This window comes from Homo sapiens, chromosome 12 (genome assembly GCF_000001405.40).
Source record: "Homo sapiens chromosome 12, GRCh38.p14 Primary Assembly".
Taxonomy (NCBI): domain Eukaryota; kingdom Metazoa; phylum Chordata; class Mammalia; order Primates; family Hominidae; genus Homo; species Homo sapiens.
The window spans coordinates 122,248,884-122,266,774 of record NC_000012.12 but is presented as its reverse complement, the minus strand read 5'-3'; the positions used below and the strand labels follow the sequence as shown (position 1 = coordinate 122,266,774).

At 44.7% G+C, this 17,891-nt stretch overlaps 1 protein-coding gene across 5 annotated transcripts in view, besides 5 other annotated features; it reads left to right on the top strand.

Moving 5' to 3' along the window:
* Nucleotides 280-1,162: an enhancer, noted in NCBI's record as "NANOG-H3K27ac-H3K4me1 hESC enhancer chr12:122750160-122751042 (GRCh37/hg19 assembly coordinates)". NCBI's record gives its function as "activates a minimal SCP1, AML or CMV promoter by ChIP-STARR-seq in naive H9 embryonic stem cells {active_cell/tissue: H9 hESC(naive)}" and the evidence as "EXISTENCE:reporter gene assay evidence [ECO:0000049][PMID:30033119]".
* Nucleotides 280-1,163: a biological region, named in NCBI's record as "NANOG-H3K27ac-H3K4me1 hESC enhancer GRCh37_chr12:122750160-122751042".
* Nucleotides 281-17,891, top strand: part of VPS33A (VPS33A core subunit of CORVET and HOPS complexes) — a 36,931-nt gene continuing 19,320 nt past the window's right edge. For 2 of the 5 annotated variants that reach the window (NM_001351020.2, NM_022916.6), the window contains exons 1-6: nucleotides 281-468; nucleotides 2,576-2,641; nucleotides 3,076-3,203; nucleotides 5,328-5,514; nucleotides 15,676-15,792; nucleotides 16,730-16,904. In NM_001351020.2, the coding sequence (NP_001337949.1) occupies nucleotides 367-468; nucleotides 2,576-2,641; nucleotides 3,076-3,203; nucleotides 5,328-5,514; nucleotides 15,676-15,792; nucleotides 16,730-16,904 (775 nt within the window). In that variant the 5' untranslated portion in view covers nucleotides 281-366. Of the gene's footprint in view, nucleotides 781-2,575; nucleotides 2,642-3,075; nucleotides 3,204-5,327; nucleotides 5,515-13,231; nucleotides 13,914-15,675; nucleotides 15,793-16,729; nucleotides 16,905-17,891 lie in introns of those variants that run through there. The other 3 variants (NM_001351018.2, NM_001351019.2, NM_001351021.2) reach the window with 3 other exon arrangements.
* Nucleotides 444-583: an enhancer, noted in NCBI's record as "active region_7213". NCBI's record gives its function as "activates an Ori minimal core promoter by ATAC-STARR-seq in GM12878 lymphoblastoid cells {active_cell/tissue: GM12878}" and the evidence as "EXISTENCE:reporter gene assay evidence [ECO:0000049][PMID:35858748]".
* Nucleotides 604-753: an enhancer, noted in NCBI's record as "active region_7212". NCBI's record gives its function as "activates an Ori minimal core promoter by ATAC-STARR-seq in GM12878 lymphoblastoid cells {active_cell/tissue: GM12878}" and the evidence as "EXISTENCE:reporter gene assay evidence [ECO:0000049][PMID:35858748]".
* Nucleotides 1,074-1,163: a silencer, noted in NCBI's record as "silent region_5013". NCBI's record gives its function as "represses an Ori minimal core promoter by ATAC-STARR-seq in GM12878 lymphoblastoid cells {active_cell/tissue: GM12878}" and the evidence as "EXISTENCE:reporter gene assay evidence [ECO:0000049][PMID:35858748]".

Here is a 17,891-nt window from a genome sequence, read left to right as displayed (position 1 = left end):
CGGCCTGAAGCGATCACTCCTACCTCGGCCTCTTAAAGTGTTGGGATTACAGGCGTAAGCCACCGCGCCCGGTCTACTCCAGATCTTTAAAATCGCTTTTCAGCGCCCGACGACTCCTGGAGTGACCAGACTCTGAAACGCGCTCTGGGTCTTGGCGAGAATCTGAATAACCACCGGGGTAGAAGAAAGAGGCGGACACTAGGGCCAGACTAGGTAGAACCCGAACCCAGCAGATTCCGGTTTCCGGGTTGGCGTGCGCTGCCGTACCGGTCACGTGGACGTTTGGTCACGTGACTGCGTCCGTGGTCCTCCCGTAGGAACCGGCGGACTCGGTTGGCGTTGTGGGGCAGGGGGTGGTGGAGCAAGATGGCGGCTCATCTGTCCTACGGCCGAGTGAACCTAAACGTGTTGCGCGAGGCGGTGCGTCGCGAGCTGCGCGAGTTCCTGGACAAGTGCGCAGGAAGCAAGGTGAGGGGCGGGAGGCAGCGACACCGCCCTCGCCTCCCCTGGTCCGGCCTGGTTTAATCCGTTCCCTGACCGCCTGAGTTCGCGGTTTATGAGGTCCTTGGGGCTTCCAAGGAGGCGAGCCTCAGGGCCCTTTTACCTGCACCCCTGTGCAGGAGGCAGCGATGAAGGGGGGGGCCCTGGGCGTACAGCCTGGAGCCGGAGTGGCACCGCGACTGTTTTGTGAGAGCAGAGTAAGCCACTGTGATAGCCCGGCAGCTGATGAGCTGGTTTACGTCAGGTGTTTCCTCCGCTGCCTGCCGAGGCACCGGACGGGTGAGCGGTCCAAGAATGTGGATGGTCCAGTGTCCATTCATTACAGGGATCATACGTGTACCTTAGAAGCTCTCTTGAAACACCTGCACCTTGCAACCTGCTGCTCACGCGTGTTATGAGAGAAGTTGTAATCATTTGGGCTTTTAACCTGGCCTCCTAAAACAGTATAACTTCTCTAGTAGCACCCTTTTCACAAGGGAGTCAGGAACTAGATCAGAGATTTTATAGGATTTCTTTTAAACAGTGTCACCTCTCCTTCATCCCCTTAGGGTTTATCAGTCACCCTAAGTTACTGACAGTACAACTGTGAAAAGTCGAACTGGGGAGCCTCAGTCTTGTAGAGAACAGAACCCCAAGAGGTAAAGTGGGTGCTAGCAGCCTTTGAGAGAAGAAAGCAGTCTACATCATAGGGGCCCAGTTTCAATTCAGAAAAGGATGCTGAAATCTGAATAACATCATGGATTGTATCAATGTCAGTATCCTGGTTGTAATATGTTACCCCTGGAGGAAACTGAGCAAAGTGTACAGGGGCTCGCTCTGTATTATTTCTTTTAACTAAACGTTAATGTACAATTATTTAAATAAATAAGAAAAAGAAATGATACTGGAGTTTAGCGGTAGAAATACTCATAGGGGCCCAAAGCAATGACTCATGGTGTCAAAAAGTCCTAGGTTGGAGTCCTCACTCCCTTTCACTCTGTATGGTCCAAGGTCTATATGGCCTTGGAAAGTTACTTGAATTTACTGAGCTTTTAAGGATTTTCTCTTTTGGCCAGGCGTGGTGGAATAGGAAGTGCGGTGTAATCCCAGTACTTTGGGAGGCCACGGCAGGCAGCTCGCTTGAGCCCAGAGTTGGAGACCAGCCTGGGTGACATGGCAAAATCTCATCTCTACTAAAATAAAAATTAGCGTGATGTGGTGGCACACACCTGTAGTCCCAGTTACTCCAGAGGCTGAGATGGGAAGATCACCTGAGCCCAGGAAATCGAGGCTGCAGTGAGCTGTGATTCCACCACTGCCCCATCTCAAAAAAAAAAAAAAAAGAAAAAAAATCCTCTTTTGCCAAAATAAGATTTGTAATACCTATATTGTAGGTTTTAATTTTGTATAGTTGACAATTTCCATATGGCTCAATTTAATGATACCATGACACAGATATACAACAACTAAAATTCCTTCTTTCTGTTCAGGACAGTGATTAACTCCTTTCTCAGGACCAACAGTAGCATCGCTTGCCCTGGATGCTATTTTTCTTTAGACTAAGGATATGAATGTGGTCAGAGGTAATTAAATTTTTTTTATTCGGCCGCGTGCAGTGGCTCATGCTTGTAATCCCACCACTTTGGAAGAACGAGGCGGGTGGATCACCGTAGGTCAGGAGTTCAAGACCAGCCTGGGCAACATAGTGAAACCTCATCTCTACAAAAAGTACAAAAATTGGCCAGGCATGGTGGTGCATGCCTATAATCCCAGCTACTCAGGAAGCTGAGGCAGGAGAATCACTTGAACCCTGGAGGCAGAGGTTGCAGTACGCTGATATCACACCACTGCACGCTAGCCTGGGCAACACAGCAAGACTCCGTCTCAGAAACAAAATAACAGCAAAACCCCAAAAAATTTTTAAATTCTTTTTTCTCCTTTATGTATTATTATTATTTTAATTTTGTAACACTAGGATAAAATTTTTTAACTCAGAATTTGAAGCAAATACTCCTCCTGTTAGGCTATTTTTTATTGGTATTGTTAAAATTCCTGATATTAACTATAATAAGAGAATGTTTCTCCCCTCTTACAGGCAATAGTTTGGGATGAATACCTAACTGGACCCTTTGGCCTGATTGCACAGTATTCACTATTGAAGGTAAATGAGCTATTTGGGTTTTGTTAGGGGATTAATAATTCTGTACTTTAGCAGTTACAATAGGATTTTATATTTCTTCCTGAATCATTGGTTTGCAAAGCTGTTTGGTCTTTATAAACACTAATACTAGTGCCCGATTAACATTTTGTATCCATTGGCCAGTGATTCTATACTGATTCTAGCATTATATTATGTGACCATTTCCTGGTGTCTTTGATAGTTCATCATCATGTAAGAGTCATTTGAATGCTGATGCAGTAACAGTGGCTTTCTACTGAAACTTTGTCCTTTATGTATTTGGCTTTGAGGGAATCTAAATTTTGATATTAAAATATTAATGTGCACTTGATTGGGGGTATTTATGATTTCTGAGTCTGAAAATTATAGGTAAATTTCAGTCTTCTTGTTAACCTTTTGTGTATGTGTTTGCCTAGGAACATGAAGTGGAAAAAATGTTCACACTTAAAGGAAATCGTTTGCCGGCAGCTGATGTGAAGAATATAATTTTTTTTGTCAGACCCAGGCTAGAGTTGATGGATATAATCGCTGAAAACGTGCTCAGGTATCTCAGAGCTTGTGTTTGATCCAAAAGAGTTTGGTTCTTATAATGCTTTTAATTTATGAGCTCCTTCTCATGGAAGACCCTCACTCTTGCCAGTGCAAGGTGGTCTTTTGGAAAACTGAGATAGGCATGGAAGAATATAAAAGAGAAGATGGGGGCTGGGGGGAGGTGGAGATAGTTAATGGGTACAACAAAAAATAGAATAAGACCTACTATTTGATAGCACAACAGGGTGACTATAGTTAATAATAATTACGTATTTTTAAACTTAAAAAGTGAGACTGGGCATGGTGGCTCACACTTGTAATCCCAGCATTTTGGGAGGCCAAGGCGGGTGGATCACTTGAGGTCAGGGGTTCGAGACCAGCCTGGCCAACATAGTGAAACCCCGTCTCTACTAAAAATACAAAAATTAGCCAGGTTTGGTGGCCTGTGCCTGTAGTCCCAGCTACTCGGGAGACTGAGGCATGATAGTCTGTTGAACCCGGGAGGCAGAGGTTGCAGTGAGCTGAGATCGCGCCACTGCACTCCAGCCTGGGCAACAGAGGGAGACTCCGTCTCAAAAAAAAAAAAAAAAAAAGAGTGTAATTGGATTGTTTTGTAACTCAAAGAGTAAGTGCTTGAGAGGATGTGTCCCCCCATTCTCCGTGATGTGCTTATTTCACATTGCATGCCCACATCAAAACATCTCATGGACCCCATAAATACATGCGCCTGCTATGTACCCCCCAAAAATTAAAAATAGAGAGGATGAGAAACTTAGGAAGTTGTTGTCAGCAGTTGGAGAGGAGGATCATCCTATCTACCCATTCTTTCAAGATAGCCAAAAGCTACCCATTCTTTAAAGATAGCCAAAAGCTTAAACCTGTGTCAGTAAAAAGGGCCCTAGTTTAAAAAAATAAACCTCCAGCAGTTATTTTTAAATATACTGCATGTACTTGAATTTCATAAGCAAAAAAAAAAAAAAAGCTGATTAAATTTTAATATAGCATCCAGTCTATAGAGGAAGTGCTCCCAGCCGAGTCTGCACTCTGTGGTACAATTGATTGTTGCAGCCCCTAAAATCTTAAAAGCATATGGGCTATTTTTGGAAGTTCTCTGTCAAGGAGAGTAGGAGTGGGAGTCAAAAGTGATCTTTCATTTTAATTTAAGACTCTTTGTGGCTGCATTGCTTTGGTTGAAGAACCATTTGTTTTTATTGAGACACAGATATCCTATTTCAATCAACCTGAGAGCTTCAATGCCCCATAAATGGTTTAAGAGAATGCTAAAATGTACTCGCCAGGACTCAGTGATGCTTTCCTGTCAGGGGGAAGAAAGAGAGAGAGAGTGGGTACAGCTGTAACACGTTGGGTCTGAGTCAGTTTTTGGTTATTTTTTTGAGACACAGTCTCACTCTGTTGCCCAGGCTGGAGTGCAGTGGTGGAATCTCTGCTCACTGCAACCTCTGCCTCCAGGGTTCAAGCAATTCCCCTGCTTTAGCCTCCCAAGTAGCTGAGATTACAGGCACACACCACCATGCCCAGCTGATTTTTGTATATTTTTGTTTTAGTTTTTATTTATTTATTTTGAGATGGAGTCTCGCTGTGTTGCCCAGGCTGGAATGCAGTGGCGTGGTCTCGGCTCACTGCAACCTCTGCCTCCCGGTTTCAAGCGATTCTCCTGCCTCAGCCTCCCAAGTAGCTGGGATTACAGGTGCCTGCCACCATGCCCGGCTAATTTTTTGTATTTTTAGTAGAGTCGTGGTTTCTTCGTGTTGGCCAGGTTGGTCTCCACCTCCTGTTCTCGTGATCCGCTCGCCTCGGCCTCCCAAAGTGCTGGGATTACAGGCATGAGCCACTGCGCCCAGCCATTTTTGTATATTTTATAGAGACGGGGTTTTGCCACCTTGACCAGACTGGTCTCGAACTCCTGACCTCAACTGATCCGCCCGCCTTGGCCTCCCAAAGTGCTGAGATTACAGGTGTGAGCCACTGCACCCGGCCTGAGAGTCAGTATTTATATGATTTATCTAGCCAGCATTTATTTAGTGCCTGCTATGTGCCAGGCAGTGGGGATAAAAAAAGCAAAATGGTCCATGACTCTTAGGAGCTCATAAGCTAACAAATGTTGCTTCCTTTGCAGTGAAGATAGACGAGGCCCAACGAGAGATTTTCATATTCTGTTTGTGCCACGCCGTAGCCTGTTGTGCGAACAGCGGTTGAAGGATCTGGGTGTCTTGGGATCCTTTATTCACAGGGAGGAGTACAGCTTAGATCTCATTCCATTCGATGGGGATCTCTTATCCATGGAATCAGAGGGTGCATTCAAAGTAAGTTTGGCATTTCCTTAACTTCAGGCATTAATTTTTGCCCAGTTTATGAGTGTGAGCATACCACAGTACTGATTACTGTGAAGCTGAGTCCCATTTTATATGTTTATTGATGTTTAAGATTTTCTGTTCAACAAATTGTTCATTTTCTTTGCCCGTTTTTTCTTTTTGAGTAATTCTTTGTATATTCTGGATGTTGATCATTATGGATTATAAAAGCTGCAAGTATCTTCCCAGTCTGTGACTTGTCTTTTAACTTTGTTTTTTTGTTTTGTTTTGTTTTTTTGAGACGGAGTCTCGCTCTGTCGCCCGGGCTGGAGCGCAGTGGCGCGATCTCAGCTCACTGCAGCCTCCGCCTCTTGGGTTCAAGGGATTCTTCTGCCTCAGCCTCCTGAGTAGCTGGGATTACAAGTGTGCGCCACTATGCTTAGCTGATTTTTGTATTTTTAGTAGAGACAAGGTTTCACCATGTTGCTTGGCCAGGATCCGCTTCATGATCCGCCCGCCTCCGCCTCCCAAACTGCTGGGATTACAGGCGTGAGCCACCGCGCCTGGCTTAACTTTGTGTATAATGTCTTTTATCATGTAGACACTTCCCATTAAAAGTAGTTAAATTTTAAAATTTTAAAATATTAGCTTTATTTATTATAACTCACAATACTGGCTGAGGTAAGTGGCTCATGCCTGTAATCCTAGCACTTTAGGAGGCTGAGGCGGGTGGATCACCTGAGATCAGGAGTTTGAGACCAGCCTGGGAAACATGGGGAAACCCCGTCTCTACTAGAAATACAAAATTAACCGGGTGTGGTGGTGGGTCCCTGTGGTCCCAGCTATTCAGGAGGCTGAGGCAGGAGAATCACTTGAACCCGGGAGGTGGAGGTTGCAGTAAGCCGAGATTGCGCCACTGCACTCCAGCTTGGGCGACAGAGGGAGACTCTATCTCAAAAAAACAAAAAACAAAAAACAAAAAAAAAAACTCACAATGCCATGAAATTCTCTCCTTTAAGGTGCAAAATTCAGTGGTTTTTAGTGTATTTACAAAGTTGTGCAACTATCTCCACTCTCTAAGTATGGCACATTTTAACTATTCCGAAAAGAATCCCCATGCCCAGTAGCAGTCTGTCGCTATCTTTCCTTCCCTCAGCCTCTGGCAGCCACTAATCTAGTTCAGTCTGTATGAATTCGCTTATTCTGGAGTTTTCCTTTTCTTCTTTTTTTGAGATAGAGTCTCACTCTTTTGCCCAGGTTGGAGTGCAGTGACGTGATAATACCTCACTGCAGCCTTGACCTCCTAGGCTTGAACGAATTTTCAGCCTCAGCCTTTTGAGTAGCTGGAACTACAGGCATGTGCCGCCACACCTGGCTAATTTTTTTTTAATTTCTTTTTTTTTCTATTTTTATTTTTTGGAGAGACAGCGTCTTATTATGTTGTCCAGGCTGGTTTTGAACTTATTCTGGAGATTTTTTAGAAATGAAATTCTATAATACATAAATGGTCCTTTGTGTCTGGCATCTTCACTTAGTGTAATGTTTTGAGGGTTCACCCAGGTTGAAGCCTGCGCGAGGCCTTCATTCCTTCTTATTGCTGAATAGTATTCCATTGTAATGATATTATCATTCATCAGCTGATGGACACCTGATGGGTTGTTTCCACTTTTTGGCTGTCACGATACTGTGAATATTGTGAAAAGTTTTTATGTGGATGTATGGTTTCATTTCTCTTAGATATACCTAGGAGTAGAGACTGGGCGTGGTGGCTCACGCCTGTGATCCTAGCACTTTGGGAGGCTGAGGTGGATGGATCACTTGAGGTTGGGAGTTCAAGACCAGCCTGACCAACATGGAGAAATCCCGTCTCTACTAAAAATACAAAATTAGCCAGGCATGATGGCGCATGCCTGTAATCCCAGCTACTTGGGAGGCTGAGGCGGGAGAATTGCTTGAACCTGGGAGGTGGAGGTTACAGTGAGCTGAGATCACGCCATTGCACTCCAGCCTGGGCAACAAGAGTGAAACTCTGTCTCAAAAATACATACATACATACATACATACATACATACATACATACATACACACATACATACACACACACACACCCCTAGGAGTAGAATTGCTGAGTTGTGGTAACTCTGCATTTAACATTTGGAGGAGCTGCCAAACTCTTTTGCACTGAAGCTGTACCGTTTGTACTCCCAGCAGCAGTGTGGGAGGGTTCCAGTTGTATATCCACATGGACAGACTTATTATTCTGTCTTTTTTTTTTTTTTTTTTTTTGAGATGGATTGTCACTTTGTCACCCAGCCTGGAGTACAGTGGTGCGATCTCGATCTTGGCACACTGCAACCTCGGCCTCCCAGGCTCAAGCAATTCTCCCGCCTCAGCTTCCTGAGTAGATGGGATTACAAGCATGCACCACCACGCCTGGCTAGTTTTTGTATTTTTAGTGGAGATGGGGTTTCGCCATGTTGGTCAGGCTGGTCTTGAACTCCTGACCTCAGGTGATCCACCTATCTCAGCCTCCCAAAGTGCTGCGATTACAGGCGTGAGCCACCATGCCTGGCCTGTTATTCTTTGAATTTAGTCATCCTACTGAGTATGAAGTGGTGTCTCATTGTAGTTTTTATTTGCATTTCCATAATGACTAAGGATGTTGATCATCTTTTCTTGTGCCTGTTGGCCTTTGTCTTCAGCTAAACAAATGTCTGTTCAGATCACTTGCCCATTTTTAAAATTGGGTTCTGTCATTTTTATTACAGAATTGTAAGAATTCTTAATAGATTCTAAATGCAAGTCTCTCCTCAGATACATGATTTCCAAGTATTTTCTTTTGTTCTGTGAGTTCTTTTCACTTTCTTGGTGAGATTGGTGTCGTTCGATGCACTAAAGTTTTAAATTTTGGTGAAGTCTCTTTTATCCAGTTTTTCTCTTGTTACTTGTGCTTTCAGTATCATCTCTGAGAAGCCATTGCCTACCCCAGGATCACAAAGATTCACTCTGATGTTTCCTTCTAAGAGTTCTATAATTTTTTATTTTTTAAAGAGACAGGTCTCACTATGTTGCCCAGGCTGGTCTCACACTCCTGAGCTCAGGCAATCCTCCCGCCTCAGCCTCCCAAAGTGCTGGGATTACAGGTGTGACCCACCGCGCCCAGCTTATAATTTTTCTACATCTTATGTTTAGGTCTTCAACCCATTTTAAGTTAATTCTGTATGTAATGCAAGGTGGGTGTCCAAATTTCATTTTTTACACATGGATATCTATTTGTTCCAGCACTATTTGTTGAAAAGACTGTATTTTCCTCATTGAATTGTTTTGGTACCCTTGTCAAAAATCAATTGTCCACAAATGTAAGGGTCTGTTTTTGGTCTTTTAGTTCTGTTTCACTGATCTATATGTCTGTATGTCCGTCCTTATGCCAGTACTACACTGTCTTGATTACAGTAGCTTTGCCATAAGCTTTGAAATCAGAAGTGTGAGTCCTTCACCCTAAAGCAGGTAAATATATCACTTTTGTTCTTTTAGATTGTGCTTTTTGAGTCTTCATAAATCTTCCACTCTGCAGACAAAGAAGAAAATCTTTTTTTTTTTGAGATGGAGTCTCACACTGTCACCCAGGCTGGAGTGCACTGGTGTAATCTCAGCTCACTGCAACCTTCACCTCCCAGGTTCAAGCAGTTCTCCTGCCTCAGCCTCCCAAGTAACTAGGATTACAGGCACACACCACCACGCCCAGCTAATTTTTTTGTGTATTAGTAGAGACGGGGTTTCACCGTGTTGTCCAGCCTCCTGAGCTTCCACCTGCGCCCGGCCCTTTTTTTTTTTTTTTTTTTTTTTGAGGCAGAGTCTCACTCTGTTGCCCAGGCTGGAGTGCAGTGGCACAGTCTCGACTCACTGCAACCTCCGCCTTCTGGGTTCAAGCAGTTCTCTTGCCTCAGCCTCTCAAGTAGCTGGGATTACAGGCATCCACCACCACGCCCGCCTAATTTTTGTATTTTTAGTAGAGACGGGATTTTACCATGTTGCCCAGACTGATCTCGATGTCCTGACCTCAGATGATCCACCTGCCTCGGCCTCTGAAAGTGCTGGAATTACAGGCGTGAGCCACTGTGCCTGGCCTGAAGCTACTTTTTACCCCAGTTCTCAGACTGCCCCTTATCCCAGAAGCAATCACTATTTCTCTTTTAATTTGGGGTGGGGGGATATTATATGCAGCTACAGCTCATAGTATATAATCCCTCCCCACTTTTGTACAAGTAGTAGCATATGATATATATACTTTGGTATGTTGCGTTATTCTCTTAATAATATCTCTGAGTCATTTTCTACCACGTATGGCAATACTTGTTTATTCTCATTTGAAGCTGCATAGAGTTCCATTGTTTGGATGTACATAATGTATTAAATCAGCTTTCTGTTGGAGAGCATTTTTTTCCTCTCTACGCTGTTGGAGGCAGTGCTGCCGAGAATGAGCCTGTTTGTAGGCCCCTCTGCACATGCGCCCTTTGTAGGCTGCGTTCGCCTTTGTCATTTCTTTTGACATTGCTTCTGGTAATTTTGGCTGTGTGTATGTTTTTAACATAATCACACTTACCCATGTTTCTTTGATTTATGAGTTTATGATGCTGCTGCTGCTGGTGCCGCTGCTGCTGCTCTGGAGACTAGAACTTTTTTTTTTTTAATTGTTTTTGAGACAGATTCTCACTCAGTCACCCAGGCTGGGATGCAGTGGCACAATCTCGTCTCACCGCAACTTCCACCTCCCCAGTTCAAGCAATTCTCCCGTCTTAGCTATCCGAGTAGCTGGGATTACAGGAACGCGCCACCACGCCAGGCTAATTTTTGTATTTGTAGTGGAGATGGGGTTTCACCATGTTGGCCAGGCTGGTCTCGAACTCCTGACCTCAAGAGATCTGCCTGCCTCAGCCTCCCAAACTGCTGGGACTGCAGGTGTGAGCCACTGTGCCTGGCCTTTTTTTCTTCTTACCAATAAAATACTTCGAAGGTAGAGACTAGAACTTTAGGGAACCGCTGGTATAGTACATAAAATTATTGGAATCTTTTTTTCCCCATTGTGTTGTTACAGAGATCACCTCGTTAAAAGAGTTAATTTGTTGACAGTTTTCACAAAAGGGGGAAAAATGAAACTTATTTAAAAAAATAAAATAGGCCAGGCACAGTGGTTCATGCCCGTAATCCCAGCACTTTGGGAGACCAAGGTGGGAGGATCACTTAAGGCCAGGAGTTCGAGACCAGCCTGGGCAACAGAGTGAGGCCCTGTCTTTACAAAAAACTAGCCACACGTGGTGATGTGCACCTGTCATTCCAGTAACTCAGGAGGCTGAGGCAGAAGGATCACTTGAGCCCAGGAGGTTGAGGCTGCAGGGCGCTGTGATCACACCAGTGCACTCCTGCCTGGGTGACAGAGTGAGACCCGGCCACAGAAAAAGCGAAAAATAAAAAAGTTAATCTGGGGCAGTAGAAGTCAGTGGCACCACCGACTAATCCTATAACCAGGGGACTTTCTTGGCTTTTTTTTTTTTTTTTTTTTTTTTTGAGACGGAGTCTCACTCTTGTTCCCCAGGCTGGAGTGCTGTGTGGCGCAATCTCGGCTCACTGCAACCTCCGCCTCCCAGGTTCAAGCGATTCTCCTGCCTCAGCCTCCCGAGTAGTTGGAATTACAGGTGCCCGCCACTGCACCTGGCTAATTTTTTGTATTTTTAGTAGAGACGGGGTTTCACCATGTTGGCCAGGCTGGTCTCGAACTCCTGACCTCATGATCTGCTCATCTCGGCCTCCCAGAGTGCTGGGATTACAGGCGTGGGCCATTGCGCCCAACCCTCTTGGCTCTTTTGTACCTTGTTCCCTAGTGGTTTGCTTACACGAAATCCTACCTGATGGTAATATAGATTTCCTTCTAACATTTTATAGGAAAATTTCAATATACCAAAAAATTGAATTGTACAGTGAACACCTGTCTATCCACCACTTATCTTCTGGATTAACAGTTTTCTATATGTGCTTTATCACATACCTGTGATGGTATACTCATTTTTAATTAATCCATATTTGTGTATTTAATGGGAATTGGTAGCAGCCGAAGCAAACTCTCTTGGAGTGACAAAATCTGTGCAGAGGAGAAATAACCTGTTTATTTTACTTATGATTTGTAAGAAAGGGCAGAACTATTTTCTTTTTTTTTTTTTTTTCCTTGAAACTGAGTTTCACTCTGCCGCCTAGGCTGGAGTGCGTTGGTGCCATCTCGTCTCATTGCAGCCTCCACCTCCTGGGTTCAAGTGATTCTCCTGCCTCAGCCTCCTGAGTAGCTGGGACTACAGGCGCCAGCCACCACACTGGCTAATTTTTTGTGTTTTTGGTAGAGACAGGGTTTCACCATGTGGCCCAAGCTGGTCTCGAACTCCTGACCTCAGGCGATCCACCGCCTCAGCCTCCCAAAGTGCTGGGATTACAGGCGTGAGCCACCGCGCCTGGCCAGAACTATTTTCTACTGACAATTTCAAGCCTTTGGCTTTGTATATTCACCTAAGATGCTGTTTTGGCCGGACATGGTGGCTCCTACCTGCCAGCACTTTGGGAGGCTGAGGTGGGCGGATCATCTATGGTCAGTAGTTCGAGACCAGGCTGGGCAACATAGCAAAACTCCATCTCTACTAAAAATAAAACAAAATTAAAATTAGCTGGGTGTGGTGGTGCATGCCTGTAATCCCAGCTACTTCGCAGACTGAGGCAGGAGAATCACTTGAGCCCAGGAGGCAGGGGTTGCAGTGAGCCAAGATTGCACCACTGTACTCCAGCCTGGGCAACAGAGCGAGAGCCTATCTCAAAAAAAAAAAAAAAGGCGGGGGGGTGGATTGGGGGAGTTAGAGGAAGTGGCAGAAAGAAAAAGAAAGGACTTTATCCGGATGGCACAGCTAAGAGCTTCGACCTAAGAGCCTAATGTTAAAGTCAGCCCCGATTTTTGGTGGAGATGACGTTAATCGTATTTCTGTGATTGGCTTCAGGAGGTACATCTAGATCTCTCTGTGTTTTGAGTTACAGTTGTGACCATCTATGTCATTGTTCTGTGTAAAATGTGGGAATTAGAGTTCTGCCCAGTCAAATGCTCAATAACATTGCTTAAGGTACTGTGGCCTTTACGCGTATATATAAAAATCAGCATATATAAAACCTGCCTCTTGTATGGTATTCTGCAAGGTATTCTGCTGTGTGGGTATGTGAGACTTTGGGGTTAAAAAAATGCGCATTTAAATGTTAAGGGTATTGGGCTGGGTGTGGTGGCACTTTGGGCGGCCAAGGCAGACGGATCACCTGAGGTTAGGGGTTCGAGACCAGCCTCGGCAACGTGGTGAAACCCCATCTCTATTAAAAACACAAAAACTTAGCCAGGCATGGTGGTGGGCACCTATGATCCCAGCTACTCAGGAGGCTGAGGCAGGAGAATCACTTGAACTCGGGAGGTGTAGGTTGCAGTGAGCTGAGGTTGCCCGACTGCACTCCAGCCTGGGTGATAGAGCAAGACTCTGTCTCAAAAAAGGAAAAACAACCAAGATTAAAATCTGTTGTTAACTTTTACATCTTTTAAAAAATATTGTAAAAGAGATGTCTTTGTAGTAGTACAACTTAAAAAAATTAAGTAAAATATGAATGCTATTTGGAGAGGAGTTCCTTAATGTCTTTTTTTTTTTTTTTTTTGAGACAGTCTTGCTCTGTTGCCCCGGCTGGAGTGCAGTGGCACAATCTCAGCTCACTGCAACCTCCACCTCCTGAGTTCAAGTGATTCTGCTGCCTCAGTCACCTGAGTAGCTGGGATTACAGGCACATGCCACCACACCTGGCTAATTTTTGTATTTTTAGTAGAGAAGGGGTTTCACCATTTTGGTCAGGCTGGTCTAGAACTCCCGACCTCATGATCCTCCCCGCTCAGCCTCCCAAAGTGCTGGGATTACAGGCGTGAGCCACCGCACCCAGCCCTCAATGTCTTTTGCCCTTGAACGTTCATCTGATCTGGAGTTTTAAGTGGTTTTGCCAAAAAGCGTGTCTTTTGACATATTCTCGATGGTCTGCCATATTCAGGGAAACGTTAAAATATACCACACTTGAAAGAGTAGTCCGGCGACACTCTCAATAATAACCAAACGCTCCCCACCATGTCTGCCATCCTTCCTCCCTGGGGCAGAGGGCCTGACAAGTGACAACCCCGCTCTCTCTTCCTCAGGCCCTGGACCCTCAGGGCCCCCTCAGTTCTGGCTGTGGACAGCAGGGACATGTTGGGTTGGTAGGGGTGGAGGGAATTGATAAAATGTACCATATTGACTTATGAGTGGATAATGGTTGTAAAAAAACCTAAATAATTCCAAATAAAAGCTAACTGTTACTGAGCATTTGCTGTATGTTTCAGGTACTGGGATTAAATGCTTTACATGTATTTTTCTCATTTAATACTTGCCCTATGTGGACTATACTCCCTTCTACATATGAATAAATTGAGGCACAAAGAGATTCTCTAACTGGCCCAGGGCACAGCTAGTAAGTGACACAGTTGGATTCAGAACAAGGCAATCTGAGTCTAGAACCTGTGTTTTGATCCACCTGTATCAAAAGTGACTGCTTCCCTCCTCTCACCTCACAGGTGGTTTTTTTCTCTCTCTCTTTTTTTTTTAAAGAGATGGGGTCGGCTGGGCGCGGTGGCTCACGCCTGTAATCCCAGCACTTTGGGAGGCCGAGGTGGGCGGATCACGAGGTCAGGAGATCGAGACCATCAGGGCTAACATGGTGAAACCCCGTCTCTACTAAGAAATACAAAAAAATTAGCCAGGCGTGGTGGCGGGCGCCTGTAGTCCCAGCTACTTGGGAGGCTGAGGCAGGAGAATGGTGTGAACCCAGTAGGTGGAGCTTGCAGTGAGCCGAGATCGCGCCACTGCACTCCAGCCAGGGCGACAGAGCGAGACTCCATCTCAAAAAAAAAATAAAAATAAAAATAAAAAAAGAGATGGGGTCTTGCTCTGTTGCCCAGAGGGGAGTGTGGCGGTGCGAACATAGCTCATTGCAGCCTCAAATCCCTGGGCTCCGGTGATCCTCCTGCCTTACCCTCCTGAGTAGCTCAGATACAGATGCATGCTACTATCCCTGGCTAATTATTTAATTTTTTATAGATACAGGGTCTCACTATGTTGCCCAGTCTGGTCTCAAACTCAAGAGCTCAAGCAATCCTCCTATCTCAGCCTCCCAAAGTGCTGTGATTACAGCCATGAGCCACTGCACCTAGCCTTCCCAGGTGGTTTTGTGTGTATTTTGGAGATTCTTTTTTCTTTTTTTTTTTTTTATACTTTAAGTTCTAGGGTACATGTGCACAACATGCAGGTTTGTTACATATGTATACATGTGCCATGTTGGTGTGCTGCACCCATTAACTCATCATTTACATTAGGTATATCTCCTAATGCTATCCCTCCCCCCTTCCCCCACCCCACGACAGGCCCTGGTGTGTGATGTTCCCCTTCCTGTGTCCAAGTGTTCTCATTGTTCAATTCCCACCTATGAGTGAGAACATGCGGTGTTTGTTTTTTTGTCCTTGTGATAGTTTGCTGAGTTGGAGGTCCTTTTTTCAATGCAAAAATATATATTTTTTATAAAATGAGATCATACTCAACAGATTGTGGCCTTCAGTTGTCAGTTGTCATGAAAATCTGCCTCATCCTTTTTGAAAACAATAAAGTATTCGTCCTGTGGTCTTTTGCATTTCTGGGTATTAGCATGTCGCTCTCCCAGCATGTCCTACCAGAGTTTACTCTCACCAGTGAATGGGAACCCATCGTTCAGTGTAAGTCTGTATTCTTCCGTCTTTTATTTAAGAGCTGATTCAGAAGAGCTGGCATGCTGGGTGAACAGTTTTCTCCCAGAAGCCCCGGCTCTGCCCAGGAGAGGTGCTTCCACGGCTGCACCCACCCTGGGGCTGCCAGCCTCAGCGCCTGGTCTGACAGGCAGCAGTTTTGGAAAATGAACTTGAGTCCCCAATTTTCCTGGCACAGTGTGAAATAACTGGAAATGATTTTATTGTCTGTCGCTGCACCCCAGCCCCAGGAACAGAGATGGGCCCCTGGGAGGCCCCCATGGCCTGGCAATAATTGGCCTTTTCCCTCACAGGAGTGCTACCTGGAGGGTGACCAGACGAGCCTGTACCACGCAGCCAAGGGGCTGATGACCCTGCAAGCTCTGTATGGAACGATCCCCCAGATCTTTGGGAAAGGAGAATGCGCTCGGGTGAGAACCGGCTGCTTTGTGGTGGTAAAGGAGGGCCCTTCACACCCCAAAAGGGAGGAGGAACGGGAAGCTCCTTACAAACAAATTCAGTTGATCTTAATTATTTATGAATACTGTACTCATGAATTTGCCTACTGATTAAAATGCACTTATAACCCTCCAAGTCAGTACTCATGGTGCTTTTGTCGGCGTGCACAGTGGTGACAGTTTGAGTAACCACTGCGCATGTTCCCAACTGAGGCAGCTGACACTCCACCTTCCCATTTCAGCTCTCAGACTGCAAACAAGTGTACTTTTCACAGTCTCACTGTCATATTTTCCACACGTGTGTACTTTTTTTGGTGATTTCACTGTTTAAAATGGCCTGCAAATGTAGGACTGAGGTGCAGTCGGGTGTCTTGTGCACAAGAAGGCTGTGGTGTGCCTGGCGGAGACATTACGTGTGTCAGAGACGCTTCGTTCAGGCACGAGTCACAGAGCTGCTGGCTGTCAGTTCAGTGTGAGTGATCAACAATTATGTTAAGTCAGGCATCTTTAAGCAGAAACACATATAAAACTGGGTTACGTATTGATCAATTGACAGAAACGTTGAGACCAGAGGCTCCCAGGAACCTAAGTCTGCGTTTCTCCTAGGAACAGTGGTTCCATCTTCGCTAATTTAGTGTTTGCAGTGACTTCATAGAACATAACTACTGCGAATCACAAGAATAGACTGACCTGATTTTATGCCTCATTGGCAAATGGCAGCTGCCTTGGTGCAAGTGTCGGGATGGGTGCCAACAGCAAGGTGCTTTTCTAGAGCTGCTTATTTCTAAGCAATGCACTCTTCCAGTTTTTCTCCTTTTTTACTTTTTTGATTGTCTTTCTGGTTTTAGACAAATTTTAAAATCTGCTTGTTCCCAGGGGGGCCCCACCTCATCCAATGTTTTGTTTCCAGCAAGTGGCCAATATGATGATCAGGATGAAGAGAGAGTTTACAGGAAGCCAGAATTCAATATTTCCTGTTTTTGATAATCTCTTGTTGCTTGATCGGAATGTGGATTTATTAACACCTCTTGCCACTCAGCTGACATATGAAGGACTCATTGATGAAATTTATGGCATTCAGAACAGTAAGTACATGACATCTGTTTTCACTAATAGGTAATATGAGAAGAATATCCTTTGTGGAGGCTACTGTTTGTATATTGCACACTTAAGCATAATTTAAAGTCAGAGATCCGATTTTAATGATTCAGAGTGTAGATTAATACAGACCTTTTTGTAAGCAATTTAGCAACACATAAAACTTTTCTAACCCTTGGCCAAAGAAAACCCAAAGCCTAAGAATGTGCCTTGAGGAATCATTCCAAAAAAGAGGATCAGTGAGGTTTGCATAAGAATTTCGATTTCCATTTTCTTACCAGAATTTTCCAAACAATCTCAGTGGTTGAGTACATTATGAAATATTATGGAACCACCTGGGTGTGGTGGCTCACACTTGTAATTCCAGCTCTTTGGGAAGCCAAGGCGGGCAGATCACTTGAGGTCAGGTGTTCAAGACCAGTCTGGCAAACATGGTGAGATGCCCGTCTCTACTAAAAATACAAAAAATTAGCTGAGTGTGGTGGCACATGCCTGTAGCCCCAGCTACTTGGGAGGCTGATATGGAGGAATTGCTTGAACCCGGGAGGAGGAGGTTGCAGTGAGCCGAGAGAGCGCCACTGCACTCCAGCCTGGCGACAGAGTGAGACTGTCTCAAAAAAAAAGAAAATATTTGGAACCATCAAAATAATAAATGTGGAACATGAAAAACTGCGTAGCCATGCCTATTTCAATTAGAGGTTGTTATATATGTGTCTGCATATGTATGTGTATTCCAAACTATATTTATAATATATTTATAAAAAATAACTAAGAATACCGTAAAAACTGGAAATAACTGGAGGTGGAATAATCAGACCATGCCTCCAAAGGGTCAGTTTTTAGAAAGCTGCTTCCTTTACATAGAAATCAGAGAACCCTTGAAACAATAAAAATACTGACCTCTGACTTTCAGACACTAGGATTCAGTGACATCTGAGCAAATTGCAGTTGTCGGTGACACAAGAGTTGGCCAG